The sequence below is a fragment of the Homo sapiens genome, chromosome 15 (genome assembly GCF_000001405.40).
Source record: "Homo sapiens chromosome 15, GRCh38.p14 Primary Assembly".
In the NCBI taxonomy this organism is placed as follows: Eukaryota; Metazoa; Chordata; class Mammalia; order Primates; family Hominidae; genus Homo; species Homo sapiens.
Genome location: NC_000015.10, coordinates 74,101,418 through 74,122,448, shown reverse-complemented (window position 1 = coordinate 74,122,448; position 21,031 = coordinate 74,101,418). Strand labels below are relative to the sequence as shown.

The 21,031-nt window shown below is 47.3% G+C and overlaps 1 protein-coding gene across 2 annotated transcripts in view, besides 1 other annotated feature; it reads right to left on the bottom strand.

The window, feature by feature from the left end:
• Positions 1-21,031, bottom strand: part of ISLR2 (immunoglobulin superfamily containing leucine rich repeat 2) — a 41,509-nt gene that overhangs the window by 19,378 nt on the left and 1,100 nt on the right. For both annotated transcript variants that reach the window (XM_024450003.2, XM_024450004.2), the window contains exon 2: positions 18,535-18,603. The gene's annotated coding sequence lies outside the window, so the exon portion shown is untranslated. The remainder of the gene's footprint in view (positions 1-18,534; positions 18,604-21,031) is intronic.
• Positions 11,526-11,718: a silencer, noted in NCBI's record as "fragment chr15:74403072-74403264 (GRCh37/hg19 assembly coordinates)". NCBI's record gives its function as "represses an EF-1alpha promoter that drives an FKBP-Casp9 reporter gene in an ReSE screen in phorbol 12-myristate 13-acetate-treated (for megakaryocytic differentiation) K562 erythroleukemia cells {active_cell/tissue: K562(+PMA)}" and the evidence as "EXISTENCE:reporter gene assay evidence [ECO:0000049][PMID:32094911]".

The window sequence follows — 21,031 nt, the reverse complement described above, 5'->3', positions numbered from 1 at the left end:
CTTCCACAGATGCACAGCAGTCAGACATTGGCCAAGGGCTGCCCCTGGGGGATGGGACTCCCAAGCACTTTCCCCTCTCCTTGCCTGTAGGCAATCAGCTCTAGTAGCCTGGAAAGACTCTGTGAAGTCTGCACCCACCTTAGGGAGATGCAATGACAGCCTTCAAGGATCAGAGAGTCACCCAGCATCAGAGTTTGGGGCCTGGAGGTCCTCTATCCCTTTCACTTTACTGGGAGGGAGACAGAGGCCAAAGAGAGGTCACAGAGCAGTTGGGAATGGGAAATGTCCCCAGCCTATCTGGGCAGTCTGGGTCAAGGACGTGCCAAGCCTGGTGGCTGTGGGTGAGCTTGCTGATTAGGAGGCCCTTGAGGCTCTTGGGCAGGTGTGGCCTCGACAGTGGCAAGGGCAGCTGTCTCTGGGGTGGATGGGACAGGCGCCCCCACTTCAGGTCTCCTGCGTTAGTCCCCCGTACCCCCACTCCATTGCCCACGGGCACTAGAACAGAATCCCATCCATGTGTGGGAGAGACTGATGTTGTACCCTTGAGTTATCTATAATAGGATGCTGACCCCAAATCAGGCCCCATAGAGAGGGCATCTCATCAGGCAGCTGGCTGGGGCAGAGATCTGGAGGGAGGAGAACCCTCCCTGAGGTGGATCCTGGCATGTTGCAGAGATACCTGGAATTCTGTACCCAGGCAAGGCCAGTTCAAATGGCCAAGTCTGGGGGAAGCCAGGCACAATTCAGTGTAAGGGGGTCTAAAGTGGTAGATCAGGGGTTAGGGGACTGTAACTTCTCTTCACTGACTTCCTGTGAGACTTTGGAAGTCTTTCTCCCTTCTCAGCCTCAGTTTCCCCTCCTGTGCTGTGGGGCTCAATTTCCCTCCTTCCTGCCTCATCTTGGGGTTGGGTCTGTCACATTCTCACTCCTCAAGCCTGTCCCTACCAAATCCAAGCTGAGGAAGGGTGCCTCAGTGCAGCGCCTCCCAGGAAAAGATTGCTCAGGTGCTGTCCTCTTCTGTGTCCTCTTCAAAGTGCCCCAAATAGACTTTCCTGGGGAAGCCAGAGGAATCAGGCTATGAAGAGTGACCCCGTGCAGTGCAGCATCTGTGAATCCTGCAGCCCCATCTTCCTGCGTCCTTATCTCCAGACTCAGCTGGGAACTTGATGTATTTATTTGCCTCTCCCAGGGCCCCACTGTGTCCAACCCACATATCTTCCGGCTGTCTGGTAGCCCCGTGCAGGCAAGGAGGGAGGGAATTGCTATAAATCCCTCCAGCCTGCAGCCAGCAGGGTGACCCTGTCAGGTAGAGGAGACAATCAAGGTGGCTTGGAGAGATGGGGACAAAGGCACCAGGAGAAGAAGCTTGGGATAGAGTCACCTAGATACTAAATGGGCTGGAATCAGGGGAGAGGAGAGTGAGAGAGGAAGGGGAAGGGAAGAGGGATAGGGTGGGCAGGGGAGGAGAGAAAAAAGGAGAGAACAGAGGAAAGGAGAACAGAGGAGAGGAGAGGAAGGGCAGGAAGGGAAGAAGCAGACTGCTTTCTAGTGCATTCTGGGAGTCAGCACAATGCCTTCTGGTCTAGGGTGCTGGGTGTATAGAGTTATTTTTTAGTGTGTTGCCAATCACTAAATTTAGTACTTTCTATATGCTGTCTCATTCAATCCTCACAATTTGTGAAGTATGCATTATCACCCCCATTTGCATATGAGATCACAAAGGGTAAGCAGGTTGTCCAAGGTCACACAGCAAAGCTGGGATTTAAAGCCAGGTCCCTCCAAAGCCTATCTTTTAACTTCCACACACACACAGCTCCCTGTTCCCAAGCCGACTCTATGAGTGCACCACCGTAAACCCAGCCACACCCCCCTCACCTACCCTCTGCCTCCCCGTGGGTTGGTCTGACTTTTTTTTTTTTTTTTTTTTGAGATGGAGTCTCTCTCTATTGCCCAGGCTGGTTTGCAGTGGTTCAATCTCGACTCACTGCAACCTCCACCTCCCGGGTTCAAGCGATCCTCCCACCTCAGACTCTGGAGTAGCTTGGGATTACAGGCACACGCCATCACACCCGGCTAATTTTTGTACTTTTAGTAGAAATGGAGCTTCACCATGTTGGCCAGGCTGTTCTCAAACTCCTGACCTAAGGTAGGCAGTTTCCCCATCTGTCTTCATCCTACTGCCTGGCATCGTATCCATCAAACTGTTTTTAGAGTTATGTCTTGATAAGATAAAAATCATGGTGGGAGTCATTTACACCCTAGTGAGAGTCACCTAAGATTCCCTTATCTTCTCAGACCTTTTAGCTGAAGTTGGTTATGAGAGAGGATGGGGTTGGGGCAAGCGCTTGGAGCCTGCACTGTTTCTTGCTGATGCCCTGGCACAGTGTGAATATGTCAATCTAAATGGAGAGCTCTATGCATGTTCCTCTTTATTCCCTTTGTCACCAATACCAATTCCCAAGGCCGAGCCCTGGGAGGGCTGGCCTGAAGGACCTGGAGGTAATAGAAAACGCTTGGCTTTGGGTTTCAGGTCAAGCTCTGCCAGTGACTTGCTGTGTAAGATGAGACAAGTCAGTTCACCTCTCTGCACTTCAGTGACCTCATGTATAAAAGGCTGGTCTGCTCTAGATTATTAATTTTCTTTAGGTTTTGCAATTGTTTTTTGTTTTAACATTATATTCAATTATTCCCTCATCTTTATTAAAGTATAATTGACAAATAAAAATTGTGTATATTTCCAGTGTTCAATGTGATATATGCATACATTGTGAAATGATTAAATCAAGTTAATTAACATTTTAATCACCTCACATACTTTTATTATTATTATTTTTGTGGTAAGAACATTTAAGATCTATTTGCTTAGAATAGTGTTTACTAGCGGTGAGGAAGGGTAAGGGGGAGGGGGTAGCCAAGGGTTGGCTAACAGGTTAACAGATACAAGAGTACATGGCTGAGTGCAGTGGCTCACACCCGTAATCCTAGCAGTTTGGGAGGACCACTTGAGCCCAGGAGTTTGAGACCAGGCTGGGCAACATAGGGAGATCCAATTTCTACAAAAAATTTAAAAATTAGCCAGGCATGGTGGTGCACGCCTGTGGTCCCAGCTACTTGGGCTGCTGAGGTGGAAGGATCACTTGGGCCCAAGAGGTCAAGGGTACAGTGAGTTGTGATTGCACCATTGCATTCCAGCCTTGGGGACAGAGTAAGACCCTGTCTGGGGAAAAAAAAAGAGTACAGCTAGATAGAAGGAATAGTTCTAGTGTCTTTAGCACTATTGGGTGACTATAATTAATGACAATTTATTATATATTTTTAAATAGCTAGAAGAGTGGATTTTCAATGCCCCCAGAACAAAGAAATGATAAATGCTTGAGGTGGTGGAGATGCTAATTATGATTTGATCATTACACATTGTACATATGTATAAAAATACTATACTGTATCCCATAAATATATACAATTATGTGTAGATTAAAAATAATAAAAGCAGGCCAGGTGCGGTGGCTCAGACTGGTAATCCGAGCACTCTGGGAGGCTGAGGTGGATGGATCACGAGGTCAAGAGATCGAGACCATCCTGGCTAACACAGTGAAACCCCGTCTCTACTAAAAATACAAAAAATTAGCCGGGCATGGTAGCGGACACCTGTAGTCCCAGCTATTTGGGAGGCTGAGGCAGGAGAATGGCATGAACCTGGGAAGCGGAGCTTGCAGTGAGCCAAGATTGCACCATTGCACTCCAGCCTGGGTGACAGAGTGAGACTCCATCTCAATAATAATAATAATAATAATAATAATAATAGCTTCAGATTTTTCCCCTTCATTTGCTTATTTTTCTTTTTGCCAATTACCTACCCATTTTTTCAGATGCTCCAACCAATCTATCAAATGCCTAGTGATAATTATCCAAAAACTAAGATACACTGGATACTCTATCAGCCCCATTATTTTCGAGGAAATTCCCACCTAATAAATTTTGGTCAGACTAGTTGTCTGCTCTCAAACCCTGTCTCCTGATAAGATGTTATCAATGACAATGCGTGCCTGAAACTTCATTAGCAATTTTAATTTCACCCCGGTCCTGTGGTCCTGTGATCTCGCCCTGCCTCCATTTGCTTTGTGATATTCTATTACCTTGTGAAGCATGTGATCTCTGTGACCCACACCCTATTCGTACACTCCCTCCCCTTTTGAAAATCACTAATAAAAACTTGCTGGTTTTACGGCTCGGGGGGCATCACAGAACCTGCTGACATGTGATGTCTCCCCCGGACACCCAGCTTTAAAATTTCTCTCTTTTGTACTCTTTCCCTTTATTTCTCAGACCAGCCGACACTTAGGGAAAATAGAAAAGAACCTATGTGAAATATCGGGGGTGAATTTTGCCTGATATCTGGCTGAATTTCCCCCAACAGTTCATTATATGCCAGCAGACACTAGCGAGAAGGGCACCTGAATGTTTGAGAGACTCAGTGGCACTATCCTTGGTAGGCCGGGATCGATAAGAGGAGATGCTGCCATGAGACCAGGCTTCGTGGTGTCAGTGGGAATGGTGGAAGGTGAGAACAGTGGATGCCAGGTGGTGGCCCTTCACCATCATCCACAAGGTGGATGTAATTAACTTAATTGGTAGGAAGGCTAGAGTGATAGCCAGGATGCCCTGACCTCCAGGGAGCTGTTGTGTTAGCTACAAACTGATGGCATTCCAGGGGAGAGTTACATAGGCAGTTGACTAGGGTGGTTTTTTCTTTTGTTTTGTTTTTTGAGACAGGATCTTAATCTGTAGCCCAGTCTGGAGTGCAGTGGCACAATCATAGCTTTCTGCAGCCTCAACCTCCTGGGCTCAAGCAATCTTTCCACCTCAGCCTCCCAAGTAGCTGGGATTACAGGCATGTACCACCATGCCTGGCTATTTTTTTTTAATTTTTAGTGAAGATGAGGTCTTGCTATGTTGCCTAGACTGGACTCAAACTCCTGAGCTCAAGCAATCCTCCTGCTGCAACCTCCCAAATTGTAGGGATTACAGGTGTGAGCCCTAAGATATTTCCTGATTTGTGTATTCAGGAAACAACATCAACAAGATCTGGCCACAGAAGGTTGCAACAAAAAATTGCAATTTCCTACCCAGTTTTCAGACTGAGACAATTGAGACCTATAGCTCATGGATTGTAGGGGAGGCTGGGTATTCTTAGAAAAAGATCCTGCAACATTACCCCATGATATTCATTAATTATTACCTCAGTCCTTCTCCAAAGGGATCTGGGGTCATTGATGAAAGTAACTGTAGCTGATGAAAAGGGAATACCCAGACTGTTTGAGGGTCATTCATATAGGATTAGAGCTGACCGTGCCACCATAAGATCCACAATGCCACCATGTCCCCTCCCCAGTAAGACTGAGGACATGTGAAGGCTAGGTAATAAATGGATCCCTGGATGAAGAGGCTGCAGCCCCATCTGGTTGTCATTTCTCTGTCCCTAAATATGCAATTGATATGAGTATGCTTAGAAGCTAACAGAGCTCTCACTTTACTCCCTGACCTGTGGGTATGAGCCACTATAGTAGGAAGAGCCCAGGGGAAGTCTCTGAAACTCCCTCTTCCCACTTCCAGGAGCAATGCAGTATTCCAGGTGGAATCACAGAGATTTATCACCTCCCTCAACTGTGACTGCCACCTTATAATGATGGTATTCTTACATTTCCCCACCTGTCCCTTGTGCCATTCTCATCATCATTTTACTTCCACATGTTATAAACCCCATAATGTTATTACTTTTGCCTCAGTCAATTATTTCTAGACATCAAAAAATAAGAAAATAGGATCTTTTCTATTTATCCATGTATTTATTATGTCAGTGGTCTTCATTCCTTTGTGTAGATCCAAATTTCTATCCAGTGTCATTTTTCTTCTGACCAAAGAACTGCTTTTAACACTTCTCAAGAGTGCAGGCCTGCTGGTGATTATCCTGGCTTTTGTTTGTGTGAAAAAGTCTTTATTTTGCCTTCATTAAATTTTTTGAAAATTTTTATTCCTTTTTTTTTTTTTGTAGAGATGAGGCCTCATTATGTTGCCCAGGCTGGTCTTGAACTCCTGGCCTCAAGCAATCCTCCTGCCTTGGCCTCCCAAAGTGCTGGCATGATTACAGGCGTGAGCCACCACACCTGTCCTTATGGAGTATTTTAACTGCTTTTAATCCCATATCTGCAGAGTTAACTTTTTCGTCTCTAGTAATTCTTCTTTGTTTTATTTTGAGACAAGGTCTCACTATGTGCCCAGGCTGGAGTGCAGTGGCACAATCACAGCTCACTGCAACCTCGACCTCCTGGATTCAGGTGATCCTCCTGCCTCAGCCTCCTGAGTAGCTGGGACTACAGGTGCATGCCACCATGCCTGGCTAATTTTTGAATTATTTATAGAGATAGGTCTCCCTATGTTGCCCAGGCTAGTCTTGAACTCCTGGGCTCAAGCAATCCTTGTGTCTCAGCCTCCCAAAGTGCTGGGATTACTGGTGTGAGCCACCGCACCCAGCCTGTGTTGTTTTTTTTTTTTTTTTTCAATATATCTTCTATTTCTCTCTTCTCATCATGTTCAGATTTTTCTAGCCTTCTTGAACATATGGAGCATATTTATAATATGTTAATGTCCTTGTCTGCAAATTACATCATCTCTGTCATTTCTGGGCCTATTTCCATTGATTTATTTCTCTCCTGGTTATAGGCCCTATTTTGCCTGTTATTTTATTTATTTATTTGAGACAGGGTCTTACTCTGTCACCCAGGCTGGAGTGCAGTGGTGTGATCTCACCTCACTGCAATCTCCATCTCCTGGATTCAAGTGATTCTCGTGTCTCAGCCTCCCAAGTAGCTGGGACTACAGTTGCGTACCACCATGCCTGGCTAATTTTTGTATTTTTAGTAGAGACAGGATTTAGCCATATTGGCCAGGCTGGCCTTGAACTCCTGGCCTCATGCAATCTGCCCACCTCAGCCTCCCAAAGTGCTGGGATTACAGGCATGAGCCACTGTGCCTGGCCATTGCCTGGCAATGTTTTATTTACTGGTAGACATTGTGTTTTTGTGTCGTGACTGCTGGATTTTGTTTTCCTTTAAATAGTGAGGGACTCTGTTCCAGCACTAGTTAAGTTACTTTAAATAAGTTGGATCTATCAAGGTTTGCTTTCAATCTTTGTTAGGACAGTTTCAGAGAAGCCTTTACTCCAGTGCTCATTTAGCCCCACTATTAAGGCAATACTTTTCTAAAGCTTCTCTTCCATTTCCTAAGTATTATGAGGTGTTTTCATTCTGACTAGTGAGAATATGAATTCTCTCTAGCCTGTTGTGAGCTCCGGGGATTCTTCTGTCTGCTTTCTGGCAGTTCTTTCCCTGGGTACTTTCTTCTCACATACATCCATATCAGCCCTTTGCCAAAGGCTTGAGGGCATCTTCCATAGCTCTCCAGAGTTCATGTGCTCTCTTCTCCCACCTCCTCCCTGGTACTCTACCTCACAAATTCTACCAGCCTTGAAGATCTTCCCAAGCTCTGATCTCTGTCTCCTCAATCCACCAAGACCACTGGACTTTGGATTTCCCTCCCTGCATTGGAGCCTGTAAGTGCTTCCGGCAGTAAACTGAGGACACTGTAGGGTTCACCTTCTTTTAGGGATCATAGTTCTGCTCGACCTGTTCTCTGATGTCTGAAAACTATTGTTTTATATATGTTGTTCCATTTTTCTAGTTGTTCAAGGTGGGAGGCAAATCTGGTCCCTGTTAGCAATCATGGCCACATGTAGAGGTTGCAGGATGTTGTTTACATCTGTATCTTTTTTTTTTTTTTGAGACAGGATCTTGCTCTGTCACCCCAAGTGGCGCCATCTCGGCTCACTGCCACCTCCACTTCATGGCCTCAAGCGATCCTCCCACCTCAGCCTCCCAAAGTGCTGGGATTACAGGTGTGAGCCACTGCACCCGGCCTAAAATTGTATCTTTCTTATTATCAGTGAAGTTAAACATTTTTTCCTGTGTGTCAGTGGCATTTGCGCTTCTTTTTCTTTGAACTTTCATATATATTTTTCCATTTTTCTTAGAACTGTTGGTCTTTGTCTTCTCTACTTTTAGAATAGAATGAATATGATATTAATCGTACTTCGAATTGTGGCCATGATGGAGTACCTGTATTGATGATGGTCTCCCAGCATAAACAACTACAAAGCTGGACAAAGTACATGAAGAAATTGTCTTCAGCCATTGGGCAATAGGCAGTTCCAGGTACAATCTGAGAGAAGGGAATCACATGAAGTGACTGCTGTGTTTTTCTGGTGGGGAAAGTTTCTAAACCCTCAATGACAGCATGAGGAAGCAGAGTTCAGGCAATGAGGATCAGTCTTGTTTGGTGGAGGAAACAGAGACTGCTGCTCAGGGCTGCTAAAATGTGTGTGGCAGAGTATCAGAAAGGATGGAGTTGCAGAGGAGAAGCCCCAGAAATCTTATAGAGGTTGCTGCAGGTCCTTGGCCAAATCCCAAACTCTGAATGTGTGGATTGAGACTCTGCAAGGCCCAGCACAGAACAGCTGATGGGGAGCTGAGAGCTAAACAGCGATTTCAGTGGTCACAGAGTGCTGGAAACACATCTGAATTCTGGCTCAGCCAGAGTCTCCACTCTTGGAATCTCAGGTCTTGATGAATATCCCAGACATTCACAGAGGGCCTAGAAGGCCATGCCTTAGGATTAAGGAAGATTCTCTAGGAATAAGAGCAAAACTGAAAAACAGCTCACCCTAACAAAACCTAAAATGTAGCCTTGACACTCAAGATCAAGTTAACCCAACAGCAATTTAATTCCCTGCCAAAATAAAACTCAACACTAGAGTAGGATAACATAACCCACATCTCTACAATGAAGGTTCACAACGTCCAACAGCTCAAGAAATACTAGATGTGTGAAAAAGCGAGAAAATATATCCTAAAATTAAGAGAAAACCAGTCAATACAAACAGATGCACCGTGCATGGTGGCTCATGCCTGTAATCCTAGCACTTTGGGAGGCCAAGGCAGGTAGATCACTTGAGCTCAAGACTTTGAGACCAGCCTGGGCAACATGGCATAACCCCATCTCTACTAAAAATTCAAAACTGAGTTGGGTGTGGTGGTGTGCAGGGGCCCATAACCCCCAGGCTGTGGACTGTACCCGTCGGTGACCTGGTAGGAACCAGGCTGCGCAGCAGGAAGTGAGTGGTGGACAGCGAGCATTACTGCCTGAGCTCCGCCCCCCATCAGATCAGCAGGCATTAGATTCTCATAGAAGCGTGAACCCTAATGTGAACTGCACATGTGAGGAATCTAGGTTTCACACTCTTTATGAGAATCTAATGCCTGATGATCTGAAGTGGAACAGTTTCATACCATAACCACCACCCCTGACCCCGTCTGTAGAAAAATTGTCTTCCGTGAAACCAGTCAGGACTGCTGGTGGCATGTGCCTGTGGTCCCAGCTACTTGGAAGGCTGAGGTGGAAGGATGGCTTGGGCCTGGGAGGTGCAGGTTGCAGTGAGCTGAGATCATGCCACTGCAATCCAGCCTGGACAACAGAGTGAGATCTTGTCTCAAAAAAAAAAAAAAAAAGGGCCGGGCACAGTGACTCACACCTGTAATCTGAGCACTTTAGGAGGCTGAGGTGGGTGGATCACCTGAGGTCAGGAATTCAAGACCAGCCTGGCCAACATGGTGAAACCCCATCTCTACTAAAAATACAAAAATTAGCTGGGCGTGGTAACATGCGCCTATAGTTCCATCTGCTCGGGAGGCTGAGGTAGGAGAATTGCTTGAACCTGGGAGGTGGAGGTTGCAGCGAGCTGAGATGGCACCATTGCATGCCAGCCTGGGATACAAGAGCAAAAATCCATTTCCAAAAAAAAAAAAAAGCAGACCCATAAATGGCTCACACATTGGAATTAGCAGGCAAGAGCTTTAAAGTAACTACATACATACGTTAAAGAATTTAGAGAAATATCAACCCTTGGTGAAGATGGTTAAAAGAGAATTTAGAGAAATGATTTTTAGTATAAGTATGTCCTAAATATGCATGGTACATACTTACTAAATAATTATTTGTTATCAGAAATCTAAATTTAACTGGGCTTCCTATATTTTATCTGGCATCTCTACTCTAAAGCCAAGCAGGACATAGTCCAGAGTCCTATCTTCCAGCAGGTGACCTAGCCTAGGACACGGCCTGGCCAGGGGCAATTGTGCATTGAATGGGTTATAGATGCCAGTCATCCAATGTGTCAAAGGTTTTTCCAGACCTGCATACAATCAATATTATTTTTATTTAATATTTTTGCCTAAAGCAACTTTAAAAATTTTAACCTTTTATTTGGAAATATAGATTCAGAGGAAATTTCAAAGATGGTACAGAGAGGTTTCATGTACTCTTCACTCAGTTTCCTCCAAAGGTTCTATTTTGTATTAGTGTAGAACAATATCTAACAATGTCACATGTCTAGGTCTATGCCATTTTATCACGTATGTAGACTCCTTTAACCACTGCTACAATCAAGATACAGAGCTGTTCTACCACCACGAAAATCCCCCTCCTGCTATTCCTCTGTACTTATTCCAGGCTCTTCCCCTCCACTATTCCTACTCCTGACAACCACTAATCTGCTGTCTTTATAATCTTCTCACTTCAAGAACATTATAAAATGGAAAAATTAGCCAGGCATGGTGGCACGGGCTTGTAGTTCCAGCTACGTGGAGGCTGAGGCAGGAGAATCACATGAACCTGGGAGGTGGAAGCCACAGGGCAAGACTCTGTCTCAAAGAATGAATGAATGAATGAATGAATGAATGAATGAATAGAGGCCTGGCATGGTGGCTCACACCCATAATCCCAGCACTTTGGGAGGCCGAGGCGGGTGGATCAGTTGAAGCCAGGAGTTCGAGACCAGCCTGGCCAACATGGCAAGCCCTGTCTACACTAAAAATACAAAAATTAGCCAGGCATGATGGTGCACGCCTGTACTCCCAGCTACTCGGGAGGCTGAGGCACAAGAATCACTTGAACCCAGGAGGTGGAGGCTGCAGTGAGCCGAGATCATGCCACTGCACTCCAGTAGGGCCAGAGTGAGACTTTGTCTCAAAAACAAAACAAAAACCAAACGAAAAAAGAACATTATATAAATGGAATCACCCAGTATGTGGCCTTTTGAGATTGGCTTTTTTTTTCTACTCAGCAAATGCCCTTTGAGATACATCCAAGTTGTGCATGCTCCTTTTTATTGCTTTTCTGTTTTTTTTTTTTTTTTTTTTTAGATGGAGTCTCCCTCTGTCGCCCAGGCTGGAGTTCAGTGGCGCGATCTTGGCTCACTGCAACCTCCACCTCCTGGGTTCAAGTGATTCTCCTGCCTCAGCCTCCTGAGTAGCTGTGATTATAGGCACCCACCAACACACCTGGCTTTTGTTTTTTGTTTTTGTGTTGTTTTTGAAACAAAGTTTTCCTCTCGTTGCCCAGGCTGGAGTGCGATGGCACGATCTCAATCTCGGCTTACTGCAACCTCTGCCTCCTGGATTCAAGTGATTCTCCTGCCTCAGCCTCCCAAGCAGCTGGGATTACAGGTGCCCGCCACCACGCCCAGCTAATTTTTTTGTATTTTTAGTAGAGATGCGGTATCGCCATGTTGGCCAGGCTGGTCTCGAACTCCTGACCTCAGGTGATCTGCCTACCTCAGGATCCTAAAGTGCTGGGATTACAGGTGAGAGACACCATGCCCAGCCTTTTTTTTTTTTTTTTTTAAGTAGAGACAGGGTTTCACCATGTTGGCCAGGCTGGTCTCGAACTCCTGACCTCAAATGATCTGCTCACCTTGGCCTCCCAAAGTGCTGGGATTACAGGCGTGAGCCACCGTGCCTGGTCCCCTTTTTATTGTTGAATAGTATTTCATAGAATGGATATGTCAGTTTGCTTTACCATTCACCTATTGGGGGATATTTGGTTCTTTCCAGTTTGAGGCTATTACAAATAAATCTGCCACGAACAATCATGTATGAGTTTTTATGCAGACATCAGTTTTATTTTCTGGTACAAATGCCCAGAAGCAATTGCTAGGTCATATATTGAGGTGTATGTTTGATTAAAGAAGCTGCCAAACTATTTTCTAGAGTGTCTGTACCATTTTATATTCCCACCAGCGATGTATGAGTTAGTTTTGTCTGCATCCTCGCCATTATTTGATATTACCACTATGTTTGATTTGAGCTGTTCTAATAGATCTGTAGTGATATCTTACGTGGTTTTAATTTGCATTTCCCCAGTGGTTAGTGTTGAAGATCTATTCTTGTGCTTTAAGTCAACTCATTTTTAAAACCTAAATACATGTATTTAAAAAGGAAACTTTTAGGAGGCCAAGGCAGGTGAATTGCTCGAGCCAAGGAGTTCAAGACCAGCCTGAGCAACATGGTGAAACTCTGTCGCCACAAAAAATAAAAAAACATCCGGGCGTGGTGGCATGCGTCTATGGTTTCAGCTACTTGGGAAGTGAGGCAGGAGGATTGCTTAAGCCTGGGAGTTTGAGGCTGCCGTGAGCTGTGACTGCACCATTATACTCCAGCCTGGGAGACAGAGCAAAACCCTGCGTTAAATAAATAAATGAATAAAAGGAAATTTGTGATTAGTGGTTCTCAAAGTGTGGTCCCTGGGCCAACAGCATCAGCATCCCCATGACCTGAGAACTTGTTAGAAATGCAGATTCTCAGGCGCCACCCCAGACCTCCTGAATCAGAACCTCTGAGGCGTGGGTTCAGCGACCTGTGGTTTAACAAGCCCTCCCGGTGAGAATCGGTCTCATTCACTACAGATAGAAGGAAATGGTAAAAATCAATTCATCCCCGTATCGCCTAAAATCCTCCTGTGGGCCCCAGGTTGGCACAGCACACTTTTGGGCAGGAGCCCCACTCACAGAGGCTGTGACAAGAATGCTCCTGCCCCTGGGGTTGTGCAGTGACAGCTCACACAGCTCCACGTGGCGGTTCTGAGTTTGGGAAGCGCTGATGTAGTCCTACTGCAGCCCTTCCTGCCCTTCACCGGACTGAGGAAATCCAGGCTCTGAGGAGGGAGAGACTTGCCCAAGGTCACCCAGCAACATGGTCAGTCTCCTTTCCCAGGGCCCTCACAATGCGTGGCCTGTTTAAAGCCTGCCTCTATTCACTGCTGAGTGAAAAATCCAGCTCCAAAACAGAATATGGGGAAGGATACTATCTTGTGCAACTTATGTTTATAGCTGCAGATACATGAGAAAAAAAGTCAGAAAATACTGTTGAAGCAGTTACTTAGGGAGAGAAGGTGTTTGCTGGTCTTTTGTGTTTTTAACTTTTCTATATTTCTTAATTTTTAACACAATAATGTTTAGTTACATAATCAAAAGGTATTAAATGTTAAAAATTGACATGAAGCCTGATCCAGCCACGGCCTATTGTTGGCAGAGTCAGGAAGCCTTCCAGATAGAGCAGCCCCGCACCTGCCCCAGGTCACACCCTGGGCCTGGGCACATGCTAGGTCCTCTGTCTGGATACCCTCACCCTGTGGTGGCCTCCACGTCCGTACCCACCAGCACCTCCTGTGGGCGAGGCCCTACATTGCATCCAGCCCTGGGCACCCCCTAGCCCAGAGGGCACCTCATAGTCTGAGAGTCCACCTGTCTGTCTCTAAAGAGAGGAAAACTCCTTGGGACATGTGTTCCGCTTGACCCATTACCCCTGGCCTGGTACAGAAAGGTGGACAGTGGGTATTTGGTGAATAAATGAATGGATGATTGGAATGAATCCCCAAAATGGTGATTTCCAGAGGCCCTTCTCCAGCTGGCCCAGGTGGAACCAGTTTCACTTTTCACAGGAAAGCCAGGTGGGAGGAGTGGGGCAGGTGTGTGTGAGGGGCCAGATTCTTGAGGGCTGCGTGGACATGGGGCTTTGGGGGGTCTGGGGGCGGCAGTGCTGCTGTGGAAGCCTCAGGGAGGGCTCATCCCTGGAATCCCCCAGGGTATCCTGGTGCCCCCAGCTGCTGTGCGGCGTGAGAATTCCTGGCTGGTGGGGACACACAGGGACTTGTTTGGATTGGCCACCTGGTCCAGTCCAAGGAGCTGTGCCTCCAGCCCCTTGGGGAAAAGCTCACTTTTGATGTGTGACAACAGCTGCAGGCAAGGGGAGGGAGAGGTGTGCTGGGCCTCAGCCTTAGAAGCCAGAAGCCCTACCTTGGTCTGGGTGGGAAAGGGATGCAGCCTCAGTTAACTCTAGCGTCCTGGGTTATGGTCAGAACCCTCCCTTATGGACTCAGTGACTTGGGCTGACCCCGCCCCTCCCTGAGCCTCATCAGTGAAACCTGGACTGGGCCAGGGCTGTCGACACCTCCCAGCTCCAACCTCTGGCTTTCTCCTAAGAGGGCAGGAGATCAGACAGAGGTGACCCGGGCTCTCCTGTTTACCTCAACCTCCTTGTGAAGCCTCCCTCTGCCTGTGAGGTGGGTGGGGCCGGAAGGAGGGGCATTCACCTGTGGGTCTCTGACTTCTCTGCCCAGGTGTACCTGGAGAGCCTGATCCATACCCAGTGCTCTGCTACACCCCATGGCCTGGCCACGACCTCCCTGCCTCCAGAGCAGCCCTGGCCCAGGGAAGAAGCTGGTCTCTGCATCGAATGATAGGTAGAAAATGAAAGTGGGGACGATAGCTCTGAAAAGGTCAAGGAGGAGGTGCCTTCCCAAGGACGTGGAGGGTTTTTCCAGAATGGAACTTGACTGGTGCGGGCAAACATCAGGAGGTGGGAAGGGTGGCTCCCTCTGTGGGAGCCAGGACGATTTGCCTGGGCCAAATGGTGGTAAGCTGTGGGTAGGGCAGGCAGAGCTGGAGTGCCCAGAGCCTGGGGTCCCTGTCCTTGCAGAGGACTGGAATGCAAAACAAGTGTCCCCTGCCCTCTGGCTGGGGGACATCCTCTATTTCCAAGCCCAGACACACATCATCTGCCACAAGCCCCTGAGGCTCTTCAGAGGACCAATGGACAGCCATACCCACACTGGGCCAGCCTGCTGGGCCCACCTGCACCCTGGTCACAGCCCATGACTGAGGGGACTCTCTGGGGACAATGGGGCAGTCTTATGCTGCCCTCTTACAGGTGGATCAGTTCCTGGGATCTGGTGTTGGGCTGGGGTGGGCTGAGACTGTTCTTTGCCGGGATGCCTGGTGGACAGCAGGTGGAGCAACTTCTCCTTGGCTTTCCTGGACCCCAGGACACAGCTGAACAGTGCACTTTACCCTGGATGCCTTTGGATTCTCAGGGGACCCTGGGAAGGAAGAGGGGCTGCCCCTGCAGGAGGCCAGGGCCCTGGGCCATGCTTGCTCCCCCCAGTCCCTCCAGCAGGCACCTCCTCTCCAGATTGACATCACCTGATTCCTGAAGGCCTGGGCTACTGACCAGAGCCCCAACACCCTCACCAAGGTCTGTTCTTATATCAGAGCAACTAGTACGAGTTCGGAGCTGAAGGGGGCGGAGAGAGAATGAAGGGCTCTGTAAGAATTCTCGGCTCTCTGCTGTGGTGGGCCCCGTAGAAGTCCCCCCAGAAATCTGCAGCTGCTGTAAGTCACTGGGAGGAAGCTGCAGCAGACATGTGTTTCCCAGCCTAGTAGATGCAGAGGGGTGTCCGGGCCCCCAGGTGGGAGGCCCAAACGTGGCCTTGGATATGGCAGTGCAGGAATTCTAGCCAGCTCTGGGGCCCTGGGCAAGTCATTTAACCTCTCAGAACCCCATTCATGGTCACCATGGGGCTCTTGTGTGGACGTAAAGAACCCCCCTGGCCACTTATATCCCATCAGTGGAAGCCTAGCATGGGTGGAGACCCCCAAGACTGAACTCAGTGGTGGGATCCAGCCTGCCCAGCTCTCCTACATAGAGCCCAGAGCCAACAGGATGGGCTTCCTGGAGAAGCAGGCACTCCTGTGGGCTGGAGAGCATGAGCAGGGGTCCCTTTGGGGAGGTGGAAGAGGCTGCGGTCATTGAAGGCCATAATGAGGCAGAGCTTGGGCAAAAAAGGCATGATGATCAGGGGATCTGAAACCCAACAGAGACTGGACTGAGGACACTGTGACCACCTCCAGGTGCCACTCAGGTGGTAGAAGCTGAGCTAGGGCTGGGCCCCCTGGTCCTGAGTAAGGCCTCACCAGTCTTGGAAGCTGTACCCAAGGTGGCTTCATGTAAGGGTGCATCTGAGCACTTTTCTTGAGACGGGGTCTTGCTCTGTCATCCAGGCTGCAATTCAGTGGCACGATCATAGCTCACTGCAGCCTCAAACTCCTGGGCTCAAGTGATCCTCCCACCTCAGCCTCACAAAGTATTGTAATTATAGGCCTGAGCCATGGAGCCCGGTTTTAAATCTTAATAAATATCTCCTCCTGGTCTGCTTCCCTGGCTGACACACATGCTGGAATCTTGCGCCTAGACAGACATGTTTCTAGACTTGGTTCCATTTGTTCTGACGGCCTCCTCTCTCTCAATGACCGCACATTACAGTATGTGGCTATTCTTACACATTTCTGTATAGACTTGAGGGTTAGTATATTAATGTCAAAGTTCTACTGGTTTTCGAGGCTGGGTGGAATGTTTGGGTTAACTGAGGAGTGGGCATCTTGACAATATAGGCTTTTCCTCCAGGAATGGTGATTCTGGGACGCAGGCTTTGCACATTCTGGTTTATTGCTTGGCTCGCTGCCACAGAGGGATGGCACTGCTCCACATGCCATGCCCAAGAGATGTCCCACCTTATCTTTCTAAATCAAGCTGAATGTTCTCAGCTGACAGGATATCCTATCAGTGCTGCGGGGACTCACACCTTCCAAACTGAGATGAAGTGAGGTGGAGACTATGGAGCAGATCCGTGCTGACTGCATTCGCCCTTCCTGACCCACACTGCTGCTGGCCGGGGCTATGTCTGAGCCATCAGAGGGCATTGATTTGGGGACGGGGCGGGGGGCGGTCCTGGAGAGATGCCCCTCACCTCCCTCAGCTCCTCCTGTCCACCTAACACTTGGCCACCAAGGTCCCTGACTTCCAGGCCCCAGTCACCACTAATGGGGTGCTGCATGGGAACAAAGTGTAGGCCCAGAACCTGGAGCTCAGGTCACTCCTCCTTCCATTCGAAGCCTCTGCCCCTCCCAGGTGATTCCACCCTCATTCCTCCATGGGCCAAATATCCTAAACAAAGGCCTGGACAGGGGTCTTTATCCGAGTACTCAGAAAACACACACGGAAATGCTTTGCATGCCCCCTGTGGCCTGCCAGGGGTAAGAGCCTGCCCGTCAAAATGCACAGTCCTGGTTCTTGCAGGGAGGTGAGGAGCGGAGGAAGAAAAGATCCATCTCATTCTTTCAGCAGGATCCTAAACTTGGGAAAGCCAGATGCAGTACATTTCTTAATCCTGATACTTTTATAACTGGTTATAGCGGGGTCACATGCGCAACTGTTTTCCAACATCTTTCAACGGGCCACATAACATCCTGTAACTTCTTTTTTTAATTTTTATTTTGTAAGGCCAGGGGCAGTGGCTCACGCCTGTAATCTCAACGCTTTCGGAGGCTGAGGCAGGAAGACTGATTGAGGCCAGGAGTTTGAGAACAGCCTGGGCAACATAGCAAGACCCCATATGCAACAGAGAAAAAAAATTTTTTTTTTTGAGTACAGTGGCATGATCACAGCTCACCATAGCCTCCAACTCCTGGGCTCAAGCGATACTCCCACCTCAGCAGCTGGGACTATCAGAGCGCAGCACCACATCTGGCTGATGTTTTAATTTTTAGTAGAGATGTGGTCTCACTATGTTGCCCAGGCTGGTCTTGAACTCCTGGCCTCAAGAGATCCTCCCAATGTGACCTCACAATGCACTGGGGTTACAGGCATGAGCCACCATGCAGCCCCTGCAAAATCTAACTGTTCTTCAGGTGCTCCTTTTGGACCTCCTAGCTAGACTGCCATTGGCAAATACCAGTTTATTATCCACCCACATTTATGTTAATGGATTTCCCATGTTTTATTTGTCTAGACCAGGCTTTCTCCACAGCAGCACTGTTGATGTTTAGGGCTGGACAGTTCTCTGTTCTGGAGCTGTTTGCGCCTCGCAGGATGTTTAGCAGCATCCCCAGCCTCCGCCTGCCACATGCCAGCAGCACTCCTCAGTGTGACAGCCAAAGTGATTTCAGATATTGTCAAATATCCCCAGGGCGGCAAAATCACCTCCAGTTGAGAACTGCTGACCTAAAACCCTCTGGAACAATGTTAGATCATGGTAATGATAGCACATACTGCTCCTGACCTTAATGGGAATACCTCTAGCATCAAAGTATAGTAGTACCTGTATACTACTGTCTGGGCTGTTATTAGTACACTGTATTAGTCCATTCTCATGCTGCTATGAAGAAATACCCAAGACTGGGTAATTTATAAAGAAAAGAGGTTTAAATTGACTCACAGTTCTGCATGGCCGGGGAGGCCTCAGGAAACTTACAATTATGGCAGAAGACACCTCTTCACAGGGCAGCAGGAGAGAGAAGGAGAGCCGAGCAAAGGGGAAAGCCTGTAATAAAATCATCAGATCTGGTGAGAACTCACTTACTATCATGAGAACAGCATGGGAGAAACCACCCCCATGATTCAATTATCTCCACCTGGTCCCACCCTTGACATGTGGGGATTATTGCAATTCAAGGTGAGATTTGGATGGGGACACAGAACCAAGCCATATCATATCCTTTATATTAGCATACTGTATCAAAGTATAATTTTCTTTCTTTTTTTTCTTTGGGACAGAGTCTCACTCTGGCTCTGGCTGGAGTGCAGTGGCACAATATCAGCTCATGGCAACCTTGGCTCACTGCAGCCTCAGCCTCCTGGGTTCAAGCAATTCTTGTGCCTCAGCCTCCCGAGCAGCTGGAACTACAGGTGTGTGCCACCAATGCCCAGCTAATTTTGATTTTGTTTTTAGTACACATGGGGTTCGACATGTTGGCTAGGCTGGTGTCAAACTCCTGGCCTCGAGTGATCCAGCCACTTCAGCCTCCAGAAGTCCTGGGATTATAGGCATCAGCCACTGCACCCAGCCTGAAGTATAATTTTCACAATATGAAAAGCTTGACTTTCATACAAATAATGAAGGAATACGTATAAGATATTTTCTTTAATTTACAAGGGAGTCAGCAACACGGTGAAGCTAGTTCAAGGAGCGTTTTGAGAGACAGTGTCTGTAGTGCTCCAGGAAGGGCATTCCGAAATGCATTCTGAGATAGAGACAAAACTTGTTAATATCCTAAAGGGAGGCCGGGCGTGGTGGCTCAGGCCTGTAATCCCAGCACTTTGGGAGGCTGAGGTGGGTGGATCACCTGAGGTCAGGAGTTCAAGACCAGCCTGGCCAACATGGTGAAACCCTGTCTCTACTAAAAATACAAAAATTAGCCAGGCGCAATGGTGGGTGCTTGTAGTCCCAGCTACTCAGAAGGCTGAGGCAGGAGAATTGCTTGAACTGGGAGGTGAAGGCTGTAGTGAGCCAAGATCATGCCACTGCACTCCAGCCTGGACAACAGAGCAAGATTCTGACTCAAAAAAAAAAATCCTATTGGGAAATAAAACTGTCATCTTTGGGAGTTATCTTTTCTACTGTACTGAAATCTGTACGTTAACATATATACATATTCTCACATATATTCATAACATATTCTCTAGTATATTTCCCTACATTAGTGGTTTTCAAACCATGGTCTCAAATTGGAAGCACCAGTGTCACCTGGGAACACAGACATGCAATGCTCAGGCCCCACCTCAGTCCTATTGAGTTAGAAACTCTGGTGTGGGGCCCAGCAGCCCATTTCACAAGCCTTGCAAGTGATTAGGATGCACTCTAATGTTTGAGAAACACTGCTCTAAATAGTCAATCTTTAATAGTAAAACAAGTATCTATGAAACAATGCTCAGTATGACATTAAAAGGGCGCACCACCCACCTTTTAACTTTATTTCTGAATTTAAATATTTTGTCTGTCTAATGTTAAATTTGCTGTTTTGTTTTTCAAATACTCTTAAGATAAGACAGTTTTCATCTGTTCCTAATTTTCTTTTTAAATAAAAAATGGTCCCAAAACTATCCATTTTTCTCTTCTTTAACCTACTGACAGCATGAAATAAAAGTTGAACCATTCCTACATCTTTTTTTTTTTTTCTCACCTTGTTGCTCAAGTTGACTGAAATGCAGTGGTGCAATCTCGGCTCACTGCAACCCCCACCTCCCGGGTTCAAGCGATTCTTGTGACTCAGTCTCCTGAGGCTGGGATTACAGGCACCCAGCACCATGCCCAGCTAATTTGTATTTATTTATTTACAGTAGAGACGGGTTTTGCCATGTTGGCCACACTGGTCTCCAACTCCTGACCTCAGGTGATCTGCCTGCCTCGGCCTCCCAAAGTGCTAGGATTACAGGCATGAGCCACCGCACCCAGCTTTTTTTCTTTTCCTTTTTTTGTTTTGAGATGGTCTCATTCTGTTGCTCAGGCTGGATGGAGTACAGTGGCGCCATCATGGCTCACTGCAGCCTCCACCTCCCATGCTCAAGAGATCCTCCCATCTCAGCCTCTTAGGTAGATGGGATGACACGTGTGCACCAGCACAAGCAGCTAATTTTTTGTAGAGACTGGGGTCTCCCTATGTTGCCCAAGCTGGTCTAGAACTCCTGGGCTCAAGCGATCCACTGGCCTTGGCCTCCCAAAGTGCTATGATTACAGGTCTTATGTTCTTAAAATTTTTCTTTGACATGGTATAGGATAGTCTAGTAACTTAACACACTGTTGCTTTCAAGAGGATAGTGCTTATGATTTGTAAAATAACTCTTCAGAAATGAGTTCAATTTTACCATGAATTGGGACACTTTCTATTTCTATTCTATAGAGCAGTTTACTTGTCATGAGGTCTGTCTTTTGAAAACTTGAAAGCCTGCAACAATAAAACCAGCTGCACCTG